Source organism: Homo sapiens, chromosome 8, assembly GCF_000001405.40.
Source record: "Homo sapiens chromosome 8, GRCh38.p14 Primary Assembly".
NCBI classification, from domain to species: domain Eukaryota; kingdom Metazoa; phylum Chordata; class Mammalia; order Primates; family Hominidae; genus Homo; species Homo sapiens.
This window is the reverse complement of record NC_000008.11, coordinates 78,617,239-78,639,423: the sequence shown is the minus strand read 5'-3', so window position 1 is coordinate 78,639,423 and position 22,185 is coordinate 78,617,239. Positions and strand designations below refer to the sequence as shown.

General features: G+C 34.3%; 1 long non-coding RNA gene across 1 annotated transcript in view; it reads left to right on the top strand.

The window, feature by feature from the left end:
- Nucleotides 1-22,185, top strand: part of LOC105375911 (uncharacterized) — a 268,808-nt gene that overhangs the window by 26,556 nt on the left and 220,067 nt on the right. Inside the window, exon 2 of the long non-coding RNA XR_007060972.1 lies at nucleotides 8,998-9,110. This is a non-coding gene — a long non-coding RNA (uncharacterized LOC105375911). The remainder of the gene's footprint in view (nucleotides 1-8,997; nucleotides 9,111-22,185) is intronic.

The window sequence follows — 22,185 nt, the reverse complement described above, 5'->3', positions numbered from 1 at the left end:
CCACACACGGCCTGATTTCTTAATTTAGCTTACTTGCTTTATTAATTAGAATAGGCAAAAAACTAGAAGCAGGCAGAGACTAGGTCAAAGACGAACTTATTATTTCTTCAGGCAGCATAACAGACCTACTTGGTTGACCCTTTTACAGAATATTGGAAGTAAGCGTGCATTTTTAAATGGCTGTAATATAACTAATAATGAGCCCAAACCATATAAATTACTTCTACTTGATAAAATTCTTCTCTTTAATGGTCACATCTGGAGTCTCTTGGTGCATATGCTTTTCCACCGTAATTCAAATATTCCATTACAAACATTTTTAGTAAAAAGTTTTTTATAAATAAAGTTTCTTCCACAGTAGTTTGGACTTGACTGTTTTAAAGTATGTATGCCAAGAGGTGCAACATTAATAACCTTAGTCCTGCTGAATACCAGTACTTCTAGTCCAAGTTCTATCACTATGTAATACCTGAGCAAATCAATAAATACCTCTACCTTCATTTTCCTCATTCATAAAACAAGAGTTTTATACTAACTCTAGGACACATTTTATCTGAAAACATCCACATTTTGTGATCCTAGTAGTATACTGCAGCCTATTTTGGAGGGACAGCTTTGGGCAGTTTTTCCTCTAAGAAAGACATGTTCTTGAAGGCCTACCTCTTCATTGCCTTATTTATTGCCCCATTAGGCAATATAAAGTTAATCTCAAGTACTATTAGTTAAACATTGACTCTGTGTCAAACTGTTAAGATAGGGTGATTATCTGCTTATAAAGGGTATTTTGATTAAATGATATATTTCTGGACAATGACAGATCCATGTTAGAATTGTAATCCTATCTCCTCTCAGCTGTATGACTTTTAACAAGCTCATTGGTTTAAATTTCTCCATCTACAAGACACAGCAGTAGCCCCTAATAAGGGTGTTGTGAAGAATAAATCAAACAGTACATGAATATACTTAACAGAATGCCTCATGCATAATAATTTACTATTATTAGAGTCTTATAAACTCCAATTTCTACTTTTTCTTGATATGAAATAATTGAGCACTGAACAGTATGTATTTTCAATACACAGTAATGATAAGCACAGCATCAGAGGTTCATCCAAAACCACACGTACTGCCACCTCTACCTTTGTAGGAGAAGGGGGCCAGGAAAAGTGTATTTGTCAGAAATATGCTGAAACTGTGAAAGAAAAGAAAAAGAAAATACATCAATTCCTTAAACTGAGAAACTTAAGTCAGTTTCACCTGTTCTGTAGTACCAATAATGTCCATGAAAATGAACATAAAAATAAAACCAAAGAAGATCTAGGAGCACTTTGAAAAACTAAAAAGTCACTGATACTTTAATTAGGCCATCCTATTCCACTGCAAAACTTTGCATTACTCAGCACACACATTTCATACATAAATCTTCCAGTTTTTAGCTATGATCATTTATGTATTCTTTATTGATAACTGTGATGATTTGTAAAGAAGTCCTCCTGTACTAATTTCCCAAGGGGCCATTAAAAATAACCATAAACGTGGTGGCTTAAACAACAGAAATTTATTTTCTCACAGTACTGGAGGACAAAAGTGTATAATGCTGCAGGGTCATGCGTCCTTGGGGTGGACTAGGGAGACTCCATTTCTTGCATTTCTGCAGTCTCTGCCTCTGTCTTCCCATGGCTTTCTCCTCTGTGTGTCTTCCCTCTGTTTGTCTCTTATAAGGACATTTAACATTGGATTTAGGGACCATGTGGACAACCCAGGATGATCTTCTTATTTCAAGACTCTTAACATAATTACATCTGTATAGATTATTTTTCCAAATAAGGTAACACTCACAGTCTTCCAAGGTTTAGTACATAGTCATATATTTTTGAGGGTCACAGTTCAGCTCCAATACCCTGAAAATTACATGTTTCTGATAGTCTTTCAGCTATAGGGTCTTTCCTTTAATCTCTATTCCTTTACTTCTCATGTTCTCCTCGGACTTCCTTTCTTTTCTTTACCACCATCAATTATCATGCCTGATAGAAAATTTAAGTGAATGACTGAGTAGGAGTTACCAGTTTTTCAAAAGCTAAGGTAAGCAACTGTAGTCTAAAAAAAATGATGGTGAAGGCCTTGGTCACTAGTCCAACTATTTCTCTTCATTGATTTTAATCATCCTACAACTATGAAGAGGTTTATGTTAGAGTCCTCCAGACAATGTAGAAGTTAAAGAACTATGATTTTTCTTGAGTAGTGAAATGACAGATCAACATAAACTGGATCTGAACATAAATCACTTGATAAAACGTGTAAGTTGGCCAGGTGCAGTGGCTCACACCTGTAATCTCAGCACTTTGGGAGGCTGAGGCAGGAGGATCACTGGAGCCCAGGAGTTCTAGAAAAATAATAATTTTACAGTGGAGAAACTTGATAAACACTACCTCAGCCAAGATTAGTGTTAAGGTCAACATCAACAGTGATCAGTCGTGGATACCTTTAATACGATGTAATGAAAATGGCACTTTACCTCTGTGGTATTCTTTCCCTGAAGGCATAACCTATAGCCCAGGACCAATCATCAAAAAATTCATCAAGAAAAACATCAAAGAAATTCCAGTTGAAAGACATTCTATAAAATACCTGACCCGTATTTCTCAAAAGTTTCATGATTGTCAAAAACAAGGAAAATCTGAGAAAGTGTCACATGAAAGAAAGCTAAAAAAAGACAGAGTGACTAAATGGTATATGGTTTCCTGGATGAAATTCTGGAACAGAGAAAGGACATTAGGTTGAAACTAAATAAACCTGAAAAAAAGTGTAGTCTTTAGTTAAAAATAATGTATTAATATTGGTTCATTAATTGTAACAAATGTAACATATTAATGAAAGATGTTAGTAATAGGGGAAACATTAGGAGGTATGTGGCAACATTCTGTACTATCTTCCCAAATGTTTTGCAAATTGAACTGTGCTAAAAATAAAATTTATCAAAAATATCACCCGCAGGAGATAAGATAGTTTTTATTTATTAGTTTAATAAATATTTTTGTATCCTTTCCAAGTGGCAGGAGCCAGGCAAAGACCAAGGATACAGAGGTAAGGAATAGTCAGGGATCTTACCTTAATAGACCTCAGGTCACTTAGTGAACATAGCCATTAAGCAGGTGACTAAATATAGAGTGCTATGATAGGTAGTGCTATCATATGTTGAACATGGTTATAATCTTAAGGTTTCTTTGCATTGCCTGAGTGAGGAAACTTAGTTCCCCGCCCCTCCCATCCCCTCCCCTCCTCTCTCAATCTCTCTCATCCTCCCTTCATTTCTTTCCCTTCCCCTTCCCTCAACTACTCCAGCTCACTCTCCTCTCACCTTTTATGATAGACTACCGTTTTATATTTTGTTTCAGTGTCTCATTGAATCTACCATACTGCCAGGCCCTAAGCAAGGGTTTATAAGCATTGCAATTATTATACATGATTTCATAAATGTTTGTTAAATTAAATTAGGTATCCAAAATCCTTAAATGGGTAATTTGAGGAACCGTGAAGGAGAATTTGAAAGCTAAGAGAGGAAGGAATAGTTTATAGCAGTAACTAATCTGTCTGCAAACCAAGGCTAGAAGTACTATAAAGATGATATCTTTTGCCCAACCTACTCATCAAGATGCAAAGCTCATCATTAATATAATTTACATTTATTGAGTAGGAGTTCTGTGCCGCACATACTGCATAATGCATCATACACGTTATCTTAGGGAATCCACCGAGCAATCCCCTGAGATAGGAACTATTTATTCTCCCAATTTTAGGGGTGAGATAACTGTGACTTAAAGAGGTTAACTAGTTTTCTCAAGGTCACATAATTAGCAAATGACAGCTCAGATTCAAACAAAGCTCAGTAGTTCAACTCCAGATCATACTGTCTGAAAAACAAGAATAAAGTATTGACCTCCTTTTTAGTAATAGCCTGCTTCATGGTCTAAAGACCGGGAGAATTGACAGGTAAATACTTATTTTTTAACTACTTCTCTTTCTGTTGTCATTGATTTAAATAATAAATATTCATTCAATTTTTGTAAATAAAATATTTATTTATTGTATAGTTGATCATTGTTGTAGAAATGTCAGTCAATAATTTGTGTTTTGTCAAGTTTCTTAATACACTTCAGACCCTTGAGATTAAAACGACTTCTTTTTAAAACTTTTTAAATTATATATATAATTATACTATAAAATTATACTATTATTTTTATTTGTAATTATTAATATATATTTTAGTAAGACTTCTCAGGATATACTTCAGGAAAAAAATAGAATAAAACAAAAATTTAATTGTATGCCAAGAAATTGATTGATTTTCTCAAAATATACCTGCTGCTTATAATTATTATGTTATCAAATAATTTTTCAAAGGCTAAGAAATGCTAAGACATTGTTTTCAGAATTATATATTTTATTTTCAAAATTGTGGTTAATTTTATAATGTATATAGTCCAGAGGGAATAAAAATTTACTTCTTGCAATGATTAATTTTATGTTTCAATTTGACTGTGCCAAGAGGTGCCCAGATTAAACGTTTTTTTTGGTCTGTCTGTGAGGATGTTTCCGAATAAGATTAGTATTGAGTAGGTGGACCCAGTAAAGTAGATGGTACTCCTCCTCCGTGTGCCTGGGCATACTCCACTTCGCTGAGTACCTGAAAAGAATGAAAAAAAAAAAAAAAAGGCAGCAGAAGAAGGAATTCACTTTTCCCTTCTGCCTGATTGTTTGAGTTGGAACATCTATATTCACCAGCCTTGGCATTGGCACTCCTGGTTCTCAGGACTTTGGATTTGGACTGAATTATATCACCAGCTCGCCTGGATCTCCAGGTTGCAGAGGGCAGATTGTAGAACTGCTCAACTTCCATAATTGCCTCTGTTAATATAAGAGTTAGCATGAACCAATTTCTTATAATAAATTTCTTCCAAAATGTATATCCTTTGGTTCTGTTTCTCTGGAGAATTCTGAATAATGCACTTCTTGTGGAGTAAAAATTTCATAATTCTCATTTGACCTTTATTTAAACTTTAAAAGGATTGCAAATGCTTCGTCATATCTTTTATTTAAGACCAAGTGAAATGAGAGTGTTAGAAATAATTAAACTTCTTTTGACTAATTGGTATTGAATTCACTTTTGTTCAAACAATTCTAGTAATGAAAAATCTCCAAGAATACGTATGAAATAATTCATATTAAGAGATATATACAATGTTAATATAACCTAAATAATATTAGTAACCAGAGCAAGAGAAGAAAAGGTAATGATGCTTGGTCACCCTCTAGTGGCTTTTCATTAGGAATTAGCTAGGGGAAACTGCAGTAGTATGAGAACCACACAAAAAGAAAACATCTGCAAAATTTCTTTTATTAAAATAGTTATAGTTATTGGGGCTTAGTTGGTTACATTTAAACTTCATCACTTTCTAGGATGTAAGTAAACCACTGTAGAAATAGTTAATAACTTTACACTGTTTTGTCAAAAGTTAACTTGTTTTTTCTTTTAAATAAAGGAAAGAAAACATGTTTAACAGCTGCTCATGGAGAAGGGATAATCTTACTCTATACTTATGATTATTAGGGAATGTTCAGTTCATTTTATTTTATTATTCTTATTTAAAATTAACATATTTAGGAATTATGTGTTTATATTTTAATAATGTAACCAGAGTTCATAGTGTTATTTTCTAGATCTTAAAAATAGTGTTTTTCATGAATACATAATTGTCAGTGCCATTTTATATATGTATATTTAAATTTCACATTTCCTAAATTTTGTTTGATTCTGATCAAGGTATAAAGCATGGCTAAAATAAATTCTTAAAATTTGGAAATTAAGTAAAAACTCTAATTCTGGTTATTGAATCCTGTTTTGGCTACTTACTATGATTTGAAGCAAATAACAATAATATATTTATCTATGCCTGCATTCTCATCTGTAAGACAGAAATGTATATCTTCTGAGAAGCAAATAGTATAATATATCTCTTAACAAGTGAGAAAAGATAATTTTAGGATTTTTTCTGAATGCATTTCTATTCGCATTAGCATGAGTTTAGGGTTTTTCTTTTATTTTCAAACAAAGGAATTTGTTTTGTTCTTTAGAGTTATTTAATTTTTTATATTTATTTTAAAATTAGCATTGTTTAACCTATGCTCATAAAGAGTTATGAAATATACATATAAAGTGGACAACTTGTGTTCCATCTGCCATGATTTACAGTTTCCAAGGTTTGTAAAAATTCTCTGTTGCTCTAAAATATGAGGATTTTGTGTAAAATATAAATTGGTAAAAAATAGTATTTAAAGGAAGGATGAAATATTGTAGATGTTTGGAGAGGGCATTAGAAATACTGTAGTTTGTCACCTTTGCCAACAGTTCTAATAAGAGATGGAAAGTGGGAAAGTCATGTAGATGCCATAGGTAGAACATTATTTTATTCATTATTGTTTACTTTAGAGCAAGAAAACAGGAACCTGTGACTAAAAAGAATCTAGATCAATCTTAGAAGTATATTTCTGTACTTTATTCATAGTACAGAAACCATTTAAGGAGTGTAATCTTTAAAACTTCTGCAATGACATATGCCCAGTTCTTGGGATTAGGTAAAGAGTAGCAATAATGCCAACATAGTTACCAAGATAACAGAACTCTAGGCATTCCCATTTCCCATAATCTGGAGGATATTTTCTCTTAAATACTTTTTCATAATCCTAAAGAAAATATATTTAAAATTAAACGCATCACAATTCCCCCCAAAATCTCCCTTCTGAGCTTCTCCAATTTCTACCTATGGTTAGTACCACTCTACAGAACTAGAAAGCAAAATTAACTTCCATCTATGTTTATTTTTTTCCTTGTGGTAAAGTTATTTTGAAAATCAAATTTTGAATCTGTTAAGCATTTTGATTATATATTTTTAAGAGTTCTACTTGATAGAAATGTATAACAAGAAGACCATTTCTATCTCTGAAAATAAGGATAGCTGAGCCTATATGTAAGATTGTTTCTGGAATAATCCAAAGGTTTCTAAGAAAAGCAAGTTAATCCGAATTTTTAGGAAACACTGTAACCAGCAGTAATATTTGCATTCAGAGAGGAAAATAGCTTGATATACGGATAGCCAAAGTTCTGTGTTAAAAGTTGAAACATAACAATCCTAATAATACTTTCAGAATTTCTTTTTTCTGACACATGGAAGAAAACCAGGAGACGGTATCTTTTAGAATGACATGAAAGATGTAGAGCTTCTCCTACCTCCTGGAGTTTTTCCACTCTTAATCATACATGCTATAAGCATAGCTGTGAGGATACTTTCAGGAACTCTAATTCTGAAAGATATCAGAAGAATTGAGTGAGTCTGAAAGGTTTGACACTGAAAAGCCTAAGCAAGAGAAAGAAACAAAAAATGAGGGTTATGTTGCCATGGAAAGCAAAAGAGAACAGAGTATGCCTTGTAGGAGAGGAGAGTGTGATAAGGGTGATAATGTCAAATTGTATTCTATTGTGTATATCTTTATATTTTGTTCTATCTATAATATTCTTAGATTAAAAATAGCTAGTATATGTTGTCATTATGTACAAAATATGAGGATTAATCTAGTTCCTGTTGCTTCCTCTACCTTAGTCAAAAATGAGGTCTATGTCAACAACTGAGTTTTAAAAACTGTGTAAAAAATTTCATGGGTCCATGTGATAGAGATTTATTTATTTAGATTTAGAATAATAGGTAATGAAGGTGCCCTCATTTGTGTGTTTGATGTACAGTTATTGCATGTGAATATCCTTTGCAGTATCCAGTCCCCCATCTCTTCCTGTTCATGTTACAGAACAATGTCTTCATGTTCTTTATTGTCAAATGTGTCATTCTTGATTAAAGTCATACCTCCCATCACAATAAAAAGGTAGCTGTTACTACAATGCCATGCCTCTTTGAAAACTGTTTCAATTTTCAAACAACTGAAAAAAGATCTTGCTGCCACTATGCTTTCCAAATACAATTTTAAAAATCTGGTAATGTGTTTATTCATAATGCTGCCTCATTTATCATTCTACCCATGAATGAATATTGGCTTCCAATATCTCTCTCAAAGTGTGTCACTATGCTTCATTGATCATGCTACAAATTCCAGACTAACTCAAAATATGCAGAAAATGTTAACCATATCCACTTTCTGTTCATGTTAAATTAACTGTTTTTAATTTTATAGTATATATTTCTGCTCTATTTTCTCCAACCATGTCCTCTTTAGGCAGAAATAGCTGCACCCCTAGAATACAATCTCCTTCTGGTTTAATCACTCATTAGTGGTGAATATAGGCCAAGGATCATGTTTAGATTCTCATTTACACAAACAAAAATGTTCAGCCCTCCTCTGTCAGATCTTAAAAATAAACATGGTGTCACAAATTGGCCAGAGACCAGAGAGGACATCAAAATTAGTAAAAAACCTTCTTACTTCAGAGCACATGTTATACCCAACAAAGCACGTATAAAACTGAATATTAGAACTTTTGAAGTAACAGGAATTAAAATAACTAAATCCTATTAGCTTCTTACAAGAGGGCTCCTACTATAGTCTTATTTAATAAAATTAGAACAATTAATATTAAATATATCATGTATGTATGTGTATATATATGTGTGTCAAATAGGATGTTAAGAGATGATTTTTGCAGCAGAAGGAAAATAGAATTTGATATTACAATAGCTGCCCTCAAAGGAACTTATAATTTGGAAGATGAATGTATACACAAGTGCAAAAAGCAACAAACATAGACTGACAGTGGGAAGTACAGGGTTCTGAATATGCTTTAGATTGTTAAAGCAAGACATGTCTACTACAAATATCTGAATCCTTTATGAATTAGAGAGAGATTACAAATTGGATTTCATAATAGTATACGATTGCAAAAATTATTGTTTTATTATAGCATATTTAAGTGTCCTCCTCTGTCCTTTGTTACAGGACCAGTGTCTGTTTTGGAGGCATGGAGTTGGAAATGAGTTGGAGAGATGACGGTAACAGTAGCTTCTAAATATGAACCTGATGCTTATACAACCATTATACCAAAAGTAAAGGTAGCTGTTTAATTCCTTTCTGTGGAGCATGGAAGATTCTTTCTATTTGCATATGCAATAGGCCATTCATAGTTGAATTTGAATATGTAATAGGCCATTCATAGTTGATAGCCTTGGGAAAATGAACTAATTTCTTTACATCTGCATATCCTCTTATATAAAAGGGGATACAAGCATTCAACATCCAAGGCTGCTATGAGGACCAGGTGCAAAGAAGACCTTTTAACACATATTGACCCCTCCTCTGCTTCCTGATTTTCTAAATTATCCATTTGTAACACACTTATTCTCTTAAGGTTGTCCTTGATATTTCTTTTTAGACTAATTTTATCTGCACAATTTTAGGGACTAAAAAGGAGAATGTACAACATAGTTTGTCCAGAAACACGAGTAGATGACTCTTCTTACAGTCAAATTTTGTAGTCCATAAAACATGCAAAATATTTAGTCTATGACAATTTCAGAGCAATGAGACACAGTAGATTCAACCATAATTGAAATCAAAATAATTACCACAGAGATGTATTATTTTTTGCCATATCCTCAGAATAGTAAATCTTTTAAGGCAACTGTAGACACTAGTTAATTTCCTATGAGAGAATGTTCTCTGTGACATTTATAATAAAATCTTCCTTACTAAACTCTACTTATTCTCAATGATATGTTTTTTTTTTATGAAATAAATGTGGCATTCTCAACCAAAGTTAGGAAAGCATAATAATTATGTTTCTCTTTAAATTAAGCTGCTTTCCATCCCAAAAGCAAATACACAGTCCTATTAGGCAACCTGGGACATAAAGGGGCCATTTGGTGTCTTGTGTAACAGACAAAGACAACTGCAGGGCAGCCAAAAGACAGATTTATATCCTGTTAAGAATAGCAGGAAATATTTTAGTTTACAGCAGTATGACACCACTTGTCGTTTCCTTAGGCATACAAGACAAGTCAACTCAAGCCTGTGGATTTTTTGGGTGAATGGAAATAACTCCCTTCTGTGCTTGTTTTTCACTGGAATGCTGACATGTGCAATGCTTGAAAATTCAGATCATCCAGAGTTTACCCTGGCACTTGTAAAGAAGAAACTATTTCAGCAGTACTGCAGTGTCCATTTTCAAGTGAGCAAAAGTGTAGTATGGTAGATGTAGAGAAGAGAAATCACGATTACCTGTTATTTTTCTTAAACTCAGCAGAAATAGTAGAAGAGAACAATCAAGAAATACTATCCCTTCTATTAAAACACTAGAATGTAGACAACTTATAAATTTTAGATTAAAATTCTTCATACAGATCACTAGTTCTCCACAAATGTGAACCTTTCCAAGTCTGTGACTGTGGAAATACTTTGGTCATTCAAGGGCTGTGGCTGTGAGCTATATGTATGTTGTCTGCGTGAGCAAAAATGCTGCCCAGTGAAAAATCAAGTGGAATATGGAGGAATAATTGGCAGTAAAGATAACTGTTTGCTGAGTGCCTAAGATGTGCCAAGCAACTTAAACTCTGTTTGGTTAGGGTTAAGGTAGTCGCTAATTATAAAATTGAGCTGTGGAACCCTGTTAGGGAAAGAAGTTGTTTCAATGTTGGAGTCAGTGAGGTGCCGCTTGTCGGAGAGGTCCCGCTTGTCAGAGAGGTCCCTTGAGTTCCATAATTTTCTTTAGTTCTGAATGAATCCCTGGTTTGTTTGTTTTGTTTTATTCAAAACTTATATGTCTCACATGTCTCTCAGGCTGGATTTTCTAGGAAGCATATGCCATATTTAATGTCTTTAAAACATGCATTCTGTCTGACCTTACATTAACTTTAGGATACATTTTTTTCTATAGGCCAGGAACATTGCTCAATATTTTCAACTATGACTTTCAGTAAAAATGCAGAAACATTTTTATAGTGGATGATTTTTATACTTTCATCAATGCTGAGAGTTGAAAGACAATCTTTTTTTTTTTCTTTTCTTTTTTTTTTTTTTTTGAGATGGAGTCTCACTCTTTTGCCCAGGCCGGACTGCAGTGGCGCTATGTCGGCTCACTGCAAGCTCCACCTCCCGGGTTCACGCCATTCTCCTGCCTCAGCCTCCCAAGTAGCTGGGACTACAGGTGCCCACCACCGCGCCCGGCTAATTTTTTTTTTGTATTTTTAGTAGAGACGGGGTTTCACCATGTTAGCCAGGATGGTCTCGATCTCCTGACCTCGTGATCCGCCCACCTCGGCTTCCCAAAGGTCTGGGATTACAGGCGTGAGCCACCGCGCCCGGCTGGGTTGAAAGACAATCTTAACACCGAGAAGGCATTTTTGAAATGGGAGATTTTAATAATGTGGTTCAAGTGTATTGCATATTGAGCATTTAATCTCACCAAGAGCCGAAGATTTTAGGTCACAAGGAGGTACTATTTCAGTGAGTTCATAAAGCTGCATCTCTCATACAACTTATTTTTCCAAGGAAGACTTTATCAAAAGCTGAATCACAATGTATTCTTATTTATACTTCCTGAAATGTGAAATACCAATATTCTTTAGAGTTTGAAATGGGACTTATAGTCATCCAAAACCAGGACCCCTGGAAGCAGAGACTGGACATTGGCTTATTTCTCCACCTCAGAGTAGGAGGTTTTCCACTTCTCCATTGAGATATGTTCCAGGTCCAGCTGAAGAAGGCAAAAAATGTTCTTCAGATAACTTGTGTAGGCTAACACATGGAGAAATGTGGATTTTCTAAAATTTAATGAAAACCTTGCCAGACTTGGTAGAAAAATAAGAAAATTTTACAAGAGACCAATCTCGCTGACACATATTAATTCAAAAAATACTAAGTGAAATATTAGCAAACAAAATCTATCACCACATTTAAAAATAATAAAGCATTCTGTAGGTTGTCTCATCACTTTGTGGAGTGCATCCCTTGCTATGCAGAAGGTTTTCAGCTTGATGTGATCCCATTTGTCTATTTTTATTTTGGTTGCCTGGACTTTGGAGTTCTTATTCAGGAAATCTTTGCCCAGTCCAATGTCTTAGAGTGCTTCTCCAATGTTTTCTTCTAGAAGTTTTAGGGTTTCCGGTCCTATATTTGTCTTTAATCCATTTTGAGTTGATTTTTGCATGTGACAAGAGATAGGGATCTAGCTTCATTCTTCTGTATGTGAATATCAATTTTCCCCCTACCATTTATTAGCCTGTCCTTTTCCCAATATATATTCTTGATGACTTTGCCAAAAATGAGTTGACTGTAAATGCATGGACTTATTTCGGAGTTCTCTACCCTGTTCCACTGGTTTATGTGTCTGTTTTTATACCAGTACCATGCTGTTTCAGCTACTGTAGCCACTATAGCTTTGTGATATAATTTGAAGTCAGGTAATGTGATGTTCTTTTTGCTTAGTATTACTTTAGCTATTCTGGATCTTTTGTGGTTCTATACAAATTTTAAGCCTTTTTTCCCATTTCTGTGAATAATGTCATTGATATTTTGATAGTATTGCAATGAATCTATAGATTGCTTTGGATAGTATTGACTTTTTAATAATATTGATTCTTCCAATATATGAACGTGGAATATCTTTTCATTTTATTGTGTCCCCTTAAATTTATTTTATCAATGTTTTATGGTATTCCTTGCAGAAATCTTTCACTTCTTTGATTAAATTTGTTTCTAGGTGTTGGAGGAAAATACTTGTAAATTGCTCATTTGACAAGAGATTAATATCCAAAACATATAAGGAGCTCACACAACTCAATAGCAAAAATGAGGGAAATATCTGATTAGACATTTTTCAAAAGAAGACCTACAAATGACCAAAATGCATATGAAAAAGAATACTTGACATTACCAGCCATCAGAGAAATACATATCAAAACTACAATGAGATATCACTTCATCCCAATTAAAGTGGCTTTTTCTTAAGAAGACAGACCATAACTGATACTGGCAAGGATGCAGGGAAAGGGGAATCATCGTACACTGTGGGTGAGAGTGTAAAGTAGTACAGCAACTATGGAGAACAATATGAAGGTTTCTCAAAATCCTAAAAACAGAGCTACCATATAATCCAGCAATCCTACTGCTGAATATATATCCCAAAAAAAGAAAATCAGTATATCAAAGATATAGCTCCACTTCCATGTTTATTGCAGCACCTTTTGCAATAGCCAAGATACAGAATCAACCTAAGTATCTGTCAGTGGATGAATGGATAAAAATATGGTATATCTACACAAGGGAATATTATTCAGCCACAAAAGTGAAATTCTGTCATTTCCAACAACATGAATGAAACTGGAGGACATTATGTTTGGTGAAATAAACCAGGTAGATAAAGAGAGATATGTGTTCTCCTTCAAATGTGGAAGGTAAAATATTAGAACTCAGGAGATAGAGAGTAGAATAATGGTTATCAGAGGCTTGGAAGGGTAGTGGGGAGGGAGGGTAAAGGCGGAATGATTAGTGGGCACAAAACCTCTAGATAGAAGGAATAAGTTTAAGCATTTAGTAGTACAGTGTGAGGACTATAATTAACAATCATTTATTGTATATTTCAAATAACTAGAAGAGTGGAATTGGAATATTTCTAACATAAAGAAATAATAAATGCATGAGGTGATGGTTATCTGAATTATCTTCATTGGATCATTACACACGATATGCTTGCATCAAAATGTCACATATACCCACAAATATTTAAGTGTTAGATATTCAAAAAAATTAAAAGTAAAAAAACTAATGAGAAAAAAACATGACAAAGTGATATTTATTATAGGAATCTAAGGGATATTCAATATTAGAAAACTGTAAATTGAAATCTATCAATTCAAAAGGGTATAGTAAGAAAATAATACTAGCCTCTTCTTAGGTGTAGGAAGGCCTAAAATGCCAATACATGTTTAAAAACCCAAATAAATAGAAATTGATGAACTCCTATTTAACATGATACTTTACAGATACAGTAACTCAAGAACAAGTATCTTACTTAATGGTAAAGTAGCAGAGACTCTCTAGTAAAATGAGCTGTACAAGGATGCCTATTAGCTTCACTGTTATTTCACACTAAGTTGTAAATAGTAGCCTATAAAATAGAGAACAAAAGCATTTAGTGACAACAGTTTTGAAGAGTTAATACTATTTTTTTTTACAGATTTTACAATCATATATCAGAAAAACTAAGAAAGTATCAATGCAAAAATACAACAAATAATTGGTCAATATATAAAAATAAATAGTCTTCATACAGGTAAATAAAACCAGTTAGAATATTTAATGGAATAAAAAGAAATCCCTCTTATGTAGCAAAAAACAAAACATAGTCAGCTAAACAAAAATACAAAAAAATTTCCAAACTTGCCATAAGCATAAAAAGAAATGTCCCAAACCTACGTGACAAAAACTATAAAATACTCCTGTAAGGTGCAAAAGTTGAAATAAATAAATAGAAAACAACTTATATTGCTGAAGAGAAAAACAGATTCAAAGTGATGTCAATCCCTTCTAGGTTAATTTTAAAATTTTAAATAATTCCAATAACCATACCACTATAATTTTTTTTCTGGAGATGAAAATTGATTATAAAGTTCATTTAAAAGAATAAATAAACAAGAAATGGTTAAGAAAAACCTTGGGAAGGGGGTACAATAGCATAGGTGATAAACTATTGTCCTTAGCAGATATTAAAGCATCTTATATTTTTTCTCTATCATTAAAAGAATATGGTGTGCTTAATTGACTGGACATACCAAAAATAGAACAGAAAACAAACTCCAGAAATAGACCCAATTCCATATGAATATTTAAAATAGGACAGTGGTGGCTTTTCAAATATATGAAGTCAAGACAGACATTTTAATAAATGGTATTAGAAATCCATATAAAATAAGATAAATTGCATCTGTTCTGTCATGACAAATTCCAAATTAATCAGAAACTTAAATGTAAAAAGTAAGATTATAAAAGAACCAGAGGAAACATTAGTGAATTCTTCTATAAACTGGGAAATAGAAAAATTCTCCTATGACTCAACACCCAAAAGTAATACTGAAAAACATGGACACATTTGACTACATAAAAAGCATTTTTACATTTTACAAAAATGCCAAAATCAATTTTTTTAAAGGACAACCTGGGAATAAAAAAATTTCCAACTTAGATCACTAACAGAATATCTATCTACCTGTATATTATCTATCTATCTATCTATCTATCTATCTATCTATCTATCTATCTATCTTCTCAAAAGACTAAAGTAAAAGACTAATGGTACTGTAGAAAAATGGACAATGTATCTGGACAGTTCTAATAAAAGCAAAGGCAAATGGTGTATAACTAATTAAACACAAATTCTAACTCTACTGTCATACCTTTCCTCACTTAAAATACTGTGTTAGTGGCCACGCATTATGGCCCAACCTGTAATCTCAGCACTATGTGAGGCAGAGGTGGGAGGATCACTTGAGGCCAGGATTTCAAGACCAGCCTGGACAAAATAGTGAGACCCTGTCTCAGAAAAAAAAAAGAAAAGAAAGGAAAAAGAAAAGCTGGGCTGACCATGGTGCCATGCGTCTATGGTTCTAGCTACTCAGAAGACTGAGAGGGGAGAATTTCCTGGGCCCAGGAGTTTTAGGTTGCAGTGAACCTTAATTGCACTACTTCACTCCAGTCTGGGCAACAGAGTAAGATCCTATTTCTTAAAAAAAATTAAATAAATAAAATAAAAATTAAAATACTCTCTTAGTGATCTCTGTAGAAATTGAACTTTCCTATATTGCCAATTGAAATGTGAAATAGTTCATCCCTATTGAGGGGAATTTGTCAATATCAAGCAAGAGTATATATGCATTTTCACTCAGATTCATAGCTCCTATTCCTAAATGCACACACACACACAAAATTATTCCCAATGATATCTATTACTGTATTATCTGTAGGAGCAAAACATAGGAAATAATTCAGGTGTCCATCAATAGTGAACTGTGATGATATATTCAGACAAGAGAGACTCTGAGATGTAAAAAGGCATGATGGCTATCTCTATGTGGTGCTATGCAGTGAACTCCAGCAAGTATTGTAAATCAAAAATAGCCAGGTGGGAAAAAAAAAGACGTGCATCCCAAGCATCCCAATGCATATGTGCATTTATTTAGAGTAAAAATTGAACAAAATATGAAAAATATAATGGCTACTTATGAGGAAGAGAGGAAATTGTATAGAGGCACAAAGATAGAAACTTGAATTTCTCTAAATATGCTAGAAGAGACTTGAGTATCTGTGGATTTTAGTATGCACAATGGTACTCAAAATAACCCCCCCATTACAATCCTCTCCCCAAATTACAGGGAGGACTGTAATTTGTTTTGGAAACATTAACAAAATTCAGTAAACAACTATATTAAAATTAAAGCGAAATAAATAAATGAATAATACATAAATAAATGACCCTAATTGTGTATGGATGTGAATTCATAACTACATAGGAATAATCTCAAGTGATTTTGTAAGACCTTAATTTAATGGTACAGAGTAGGCTATATTCTGAGGCTAAAAAGACTTGCACAATCCCAACAATCATATTATGTTGGTATGTTTTTTGTATGCGTGTGCACACATATACACCTGAATATATTCTAAATATATAAATAACATAGTACATTGTATTCTTTGACATATTATATATGAAATGTTATTAAGAGAAAAACAGAGATAGAAAAACGGAGTCAGAAAAAAGCATGTGCCTCAAAAGAGTTTCGAGAACCTGACCCTTCACATCAGCCTTTCAACAAATAACTACAAGGCTTGTTCAAAAGCAAGAAAAAAGAGTTTGAAGAGACAAAGCAAACATTAGAACTAGGCTTATATGTGACAAGATTTCAAAAATCTTATACAAGAAACTTAAAATAACTATGATTAGGCTGGGCGCTGTGGCTCACGCCTGTAATCCCAGCACTTTGGGAGGCGGAGGCAGGCGGATCGCGAGGTCAGGAGAGCAAGAGCATCCTGGCTAACACGGTGAAACCCCGTCTCTACTAAAAATACAAAAAATAGCCGGGCGTGGTGGCGGGCGCCTGTAGTCCCAGCTACTCGGGAGGCTGAGGCAGGAGAATGGCGAGAACCTGGGAGGCAGAGCTTGCAGTGAGCTGAGATCGTGCCACTGCACTCCAGCCTGGGCGACAGAGCGAGACTCTGTCTCAAAAAAACAAAACAAACAAACAAACAAAAAACTATGATTAATATGCCAAAGTTACTAATAGCGAAAGTTGATAATATGCAAAACTCGATGGATAATGTAAATATAGAGATACAAACTCCAAGGAAGAACGAAAGGAAATGCTAGAAATCAAAAGCGCTGTGACAGAAATTAGGAATACCTACATGGCAGGGGAGTTGATGAGCTTCCATATGACAGCAGACACTTCCCTAATGAAATTCAAAAAAGTATGATAAAAGTATGAAAAATGGCACAGAATATCCTGGAACTAGAACATTTAGAAAAAAATAAATATAAGCATAGTGGGAAGACTAGAAGAAGAGAGAAAGGAACAGAAAAAATACTTGAAATAACAATGGCTGGGAATTTTAAAAATTAATGACAGACATCCAGACATCAAACCACAGATCTAGGAATCTCAGAGAACACCAGGCAGGATACATACCAAAAAATCTGTACCTAGGTCTATCATATTCAAGCTGTAGAAAACCAAAAACAAGAAGAAAATTTTTGAAAGAAGGCGGAGGGAAAAAAACAAACAGCAAAATACCTTATGACCTTAGCTATAGAGGAAACTATGCAAACAAGAGAGTACCATGCAATATCTAAAGTATTAAAAGAAAAAAACCCAACTTAGAATTCTATATCCAGTAAGATTGTCCTTCAAAAGTGAATGAGAAATAAAGACTTTCTCAGACAAATGAAAGCTGAGGAATGTCATTGCCGGCAAGTCTGTCCTACCAGAAATGTTAAAAAAATTCATAAAAGAAAAATTAAAGAGGTCAGAAACTTGGATCTACATAAAGAAAAATAAAGGGTCAAAGAAGGAATTAATGAAGGTAAAATAAAATCTTTTTCTTGCCTTATTCTAAATTGATTTAATAGAAAACTACTCAAAAGAATAATTGTAACAATGCATTGGGTTATTATAGCACATGGATAAGTAAAATGGATGACAGCAGTGTTAAAGGGAAGGGAGGGAAGAATTGGAAATACTTAATTATAGGTAAGTTGAACTTTATTAAAACTAATAATTTCTTCTGTGTAAAAGATACTGTAAAGAGAATGAAGAGAAGCCATATACTGGGAAAAATTATTTTAAAAAACTCCTATCTGATAAAGGACATGTATCACAATGATAGCAAGAGCTCTCAAAACTCAATAAGAAAACAACCCAACTAAAAAATGGGTAATAGATTTGAACAGGCTCCTCACCAGGAGGATATGCAGATGGTAATTTAGCTCATAAAAATATACACAAAATCATTTTTCATTAAGAAATTACAACTTAAGGCTGGGCACAGTAGCTTATGCCTGTAATCCTAGTATTTTGGGATGTTGAGGTAGGAGGATCCCTTGATGCCAGGAGTTCAAGATCAGCCTGGGCAACAAAGCATGATCCCACCTCTACAAAAAATAAAAATATCAGCCAAGGGTGGGAGGAGCGCTTGAGTCCAGGAATTCGATGCTACAGTGATCTATGATTGCACCACTGTGCTCCAGTTGGGGGGACAAAGTGAGACTGTCTCAAAAAAAAGGAAAAAATTGGAACTTCACAACATAAAACAGTAATGACATCACTACACACCTATTAGAATGAGTAAAATAAAAAAAATGCCAAATGCTGGTGAGGGTACAGAGCATCAGATATTCTCATTCTTTGTTGGTAAGAAGGCAAAACGGTACAATTACTTTGGAGAAAGGCTGGCAACTGTTTTGGAAGGTAAACATAGTTTAACCACTTACTCTAGCAAGCATGCCCTTAGGTATTTACCCAATTGAGTTGAAAACTTTTGTCTACACAAAAGCCTTCATGCAAATGTTTACTGGTCTTTTATTTTTAATTGACCCAAACTGGAAGCAAGCAAAATGTCCTTCAATAGGTGAATGTATAAACAAACTGTGGTACATCTATACTAGGAAATATTATTCAGCTATAAAAAGTTATCAAATCATAAAAGACATGGACACATGCATATTACTTAAATGAATATTGCTAAGCAAAAGAAGCCAGTTTGAAAAGGCTACATACTCTGCTTAAAAATATGTCATTCTGGAAAAGGGAAAATTATAGAGGCAATGAAATATCGGTGGTTGCCTGGAGCTTAGGATAGGGGGACTTGGTAAATAGGTGATGCGTAGATGATGTTTAGGCTGGTAAAACCATTCTGTATTATACCGTAATGATGCATACATGCCATTATACATACATGCCATTATGCATTTGTTAAAACCCACAAGAGTTTACAGCCCAAAGATTTAGCTTTAATACATGAAATTTATGAGTACATATATATATGTGTGTGTATATATATGTATATATATACATATATAAACACACACACACACACACACACACACACACACACACACACACACACACACATATATATTTAAGGAGTCAGAGGATCCCAGGAAAGAATGCAGGCTGTCACAAGACAATCTAACTGAATTAAAAACGCACAAGACAATCTCACTTAGTGTAGTGGTATCTACTTTAGTAACTTTAGAAATAAATGGAGTTTGTATGATTAAAGGCAAAAAGAACAGCATGCATAAGTGTTGTATTCTAGTTGATAAATTTGTGTCCCATGTAGGTATAGGCTAGCAACTGTGACATAGTTACACATGTAAACTGGAATGGGACAATAAATAAATGGATGTTAGATAGTGGGAGCCAATTTTCTCATTGCTGGAATGGGAATTTTTATATAAATAAGGGGAAAAGGCTAAAATGATTCAAGTCATAATGGATTAGAGTTGGACACATTAGTATGAACTTATGTCTAATGTAATATAGATACAGATGATAACATCTAGAAATACTTATAGGTACAAGTTGAGCATCCATCACCTGAAAATCTAAAACCCAAGCTGCTCTGAAAACCAAAAGTTTCTGAGAACCAACATAATGCCACAAGTAGAAAATTCCCCACTTGACCTCATGTGACAGATCACAGTCAAAACACAGTTAACACTTTGTTTCATACAGAAAAATATTTTAAAATATTATATGAAGGCCGGGCGCGGTGGCTCATGCCTGTAATCCCAGCACTTTGGGAGGCTGAGGAGGGCGGATCACGAGGTCAGGAGATTGAGACCATCCTGGCTAATACGGTGAAACACTGTCTACTAAAAATACAAAAAATTAGCTGGACATGGTGGCACGCGCCTGCAGTCCCAGCTACTAGAAAGGCTGAGGCAAGAGAATCGCTTTAACTCAGGAGGCGGAGGTTGCAGTGAGTGGAGATCGCGCAACTGCACTCCAGCTTGGCAATAAAGCGAGACTCCGTCTCAAAAAAAAAATTGTACAAAGTTATCTTCACGCTATGTGTATAAGGTATACATGAACATAAATTTCATGTTTGGAATTAGGTCACATCCCAGAGATATCTATTTTTGTAAATGCAAATATTCCAAAATCCCCCCAAAATTCCAAAATTCAAAACTCTTTCAGTCCCAAGAATTTCAGATAAGAGATACCCAACTTCTGTGCATATATACATAGCTTGGTACACATACATATATTTATTTGTTGTGTCAGATGAGACAGCCTAAAAGAAATGAGACCCCAATAGCAATGGGTGGATCTAGTACCCAGATCTTGAATTCTAATATCGTTCTCCAATTAAGGAATCAGGGCTCCTTGGGGAAAATGGCTGATTCTAGAACTGGGAAGAAATATTCAAGAGGAGCCTAGATCATCTTGTCGTGCCAGAAAGTAAGAAAGTATTAAATTACCAAAACCAAAATGAAAACCAAAACCAAACCCCCAAAATATCTTACACTGGTTTGTGATTGGGGTATGTCAAAGGGGCACAGGAGCTCACTGAAAGAGTTTCCAATGACCAAAGCTAAAACTATTTGAGTAATAAATAAAGAAGCACTGTATTATAATCTAAAACATAACATAAATATCTGAATCTATAAGAACTGAATAAATAAGTTAATGGGAGAGAAGAGATAAATCTCCCATGCAGAAGAACCCCAAAGAAATAATGCAGAAACTCCACCCCAAACGAAGTTGCATGAGTCCCCACAACTTAGTGTGAGCTTCAAATCATGTCTTCTTTATCAAAGGTACAGTACAGCAAAGAGGGAAATTAAAAGAATTACTTTACAAGGGAGAAACCTGACAAAAGTGCCTTCTACTAGGTAATTAAGGTCAACATCAACAGTGATAAGTCAGAGTGATAATACGTATCCTTAATATGACATAATGAAAATGGCCCTTTGCTTTCACAGTCTTCTTCCCTCAAACCCATAACCTCAGTCTAATAGTGAGAAAAACATCAAACATTTAAATTGAGGGACAACCTACAAAACATCTGACTCAATACTCATCAAAACCATCAAGTAATTAAAAAGAAGGAAACTCTGAAAAATTGCCACAGGCAAGAAGAGCCTAAAGAGCTGTGACAAGATGTATACACAATGTGGTAATCTGAGTAAGATCCTAGAATAGAGAAAAGACATTAGGTGAAAACAAGAAAATCTGAATAACATATGAACTTGAGTTAATAATAATTTATTAATCTATCTATCTATCTATCTATCTATCTATCTATCTATCTATCTATCTATCTATCAAGACAGAGTCTTGCTCTGTGGCCCAGGCTGGAGTGCAGTGGTGCCATCTCGGCTCACTGCAGCCTCTGCCTCCTGGGTTCAAGCTATTCTCCTGCCTCAGCCTCCTGAGTAGCTGGGATTACAGGCGCCCCTAACCACACCTGGCTAATTTTTGTATTTTTAGCAGAGACAAGGTTTCACCATGTTGGCCAGGCTGGTCTCAAACTCCTGACCTCAAGTGATCCACCCGCCTCAGCCTCCCAAAGTGCTGGGATTACAGGCATGGTTCATTAGTTCTAATAAATTTACCATACTAATGTAAGATG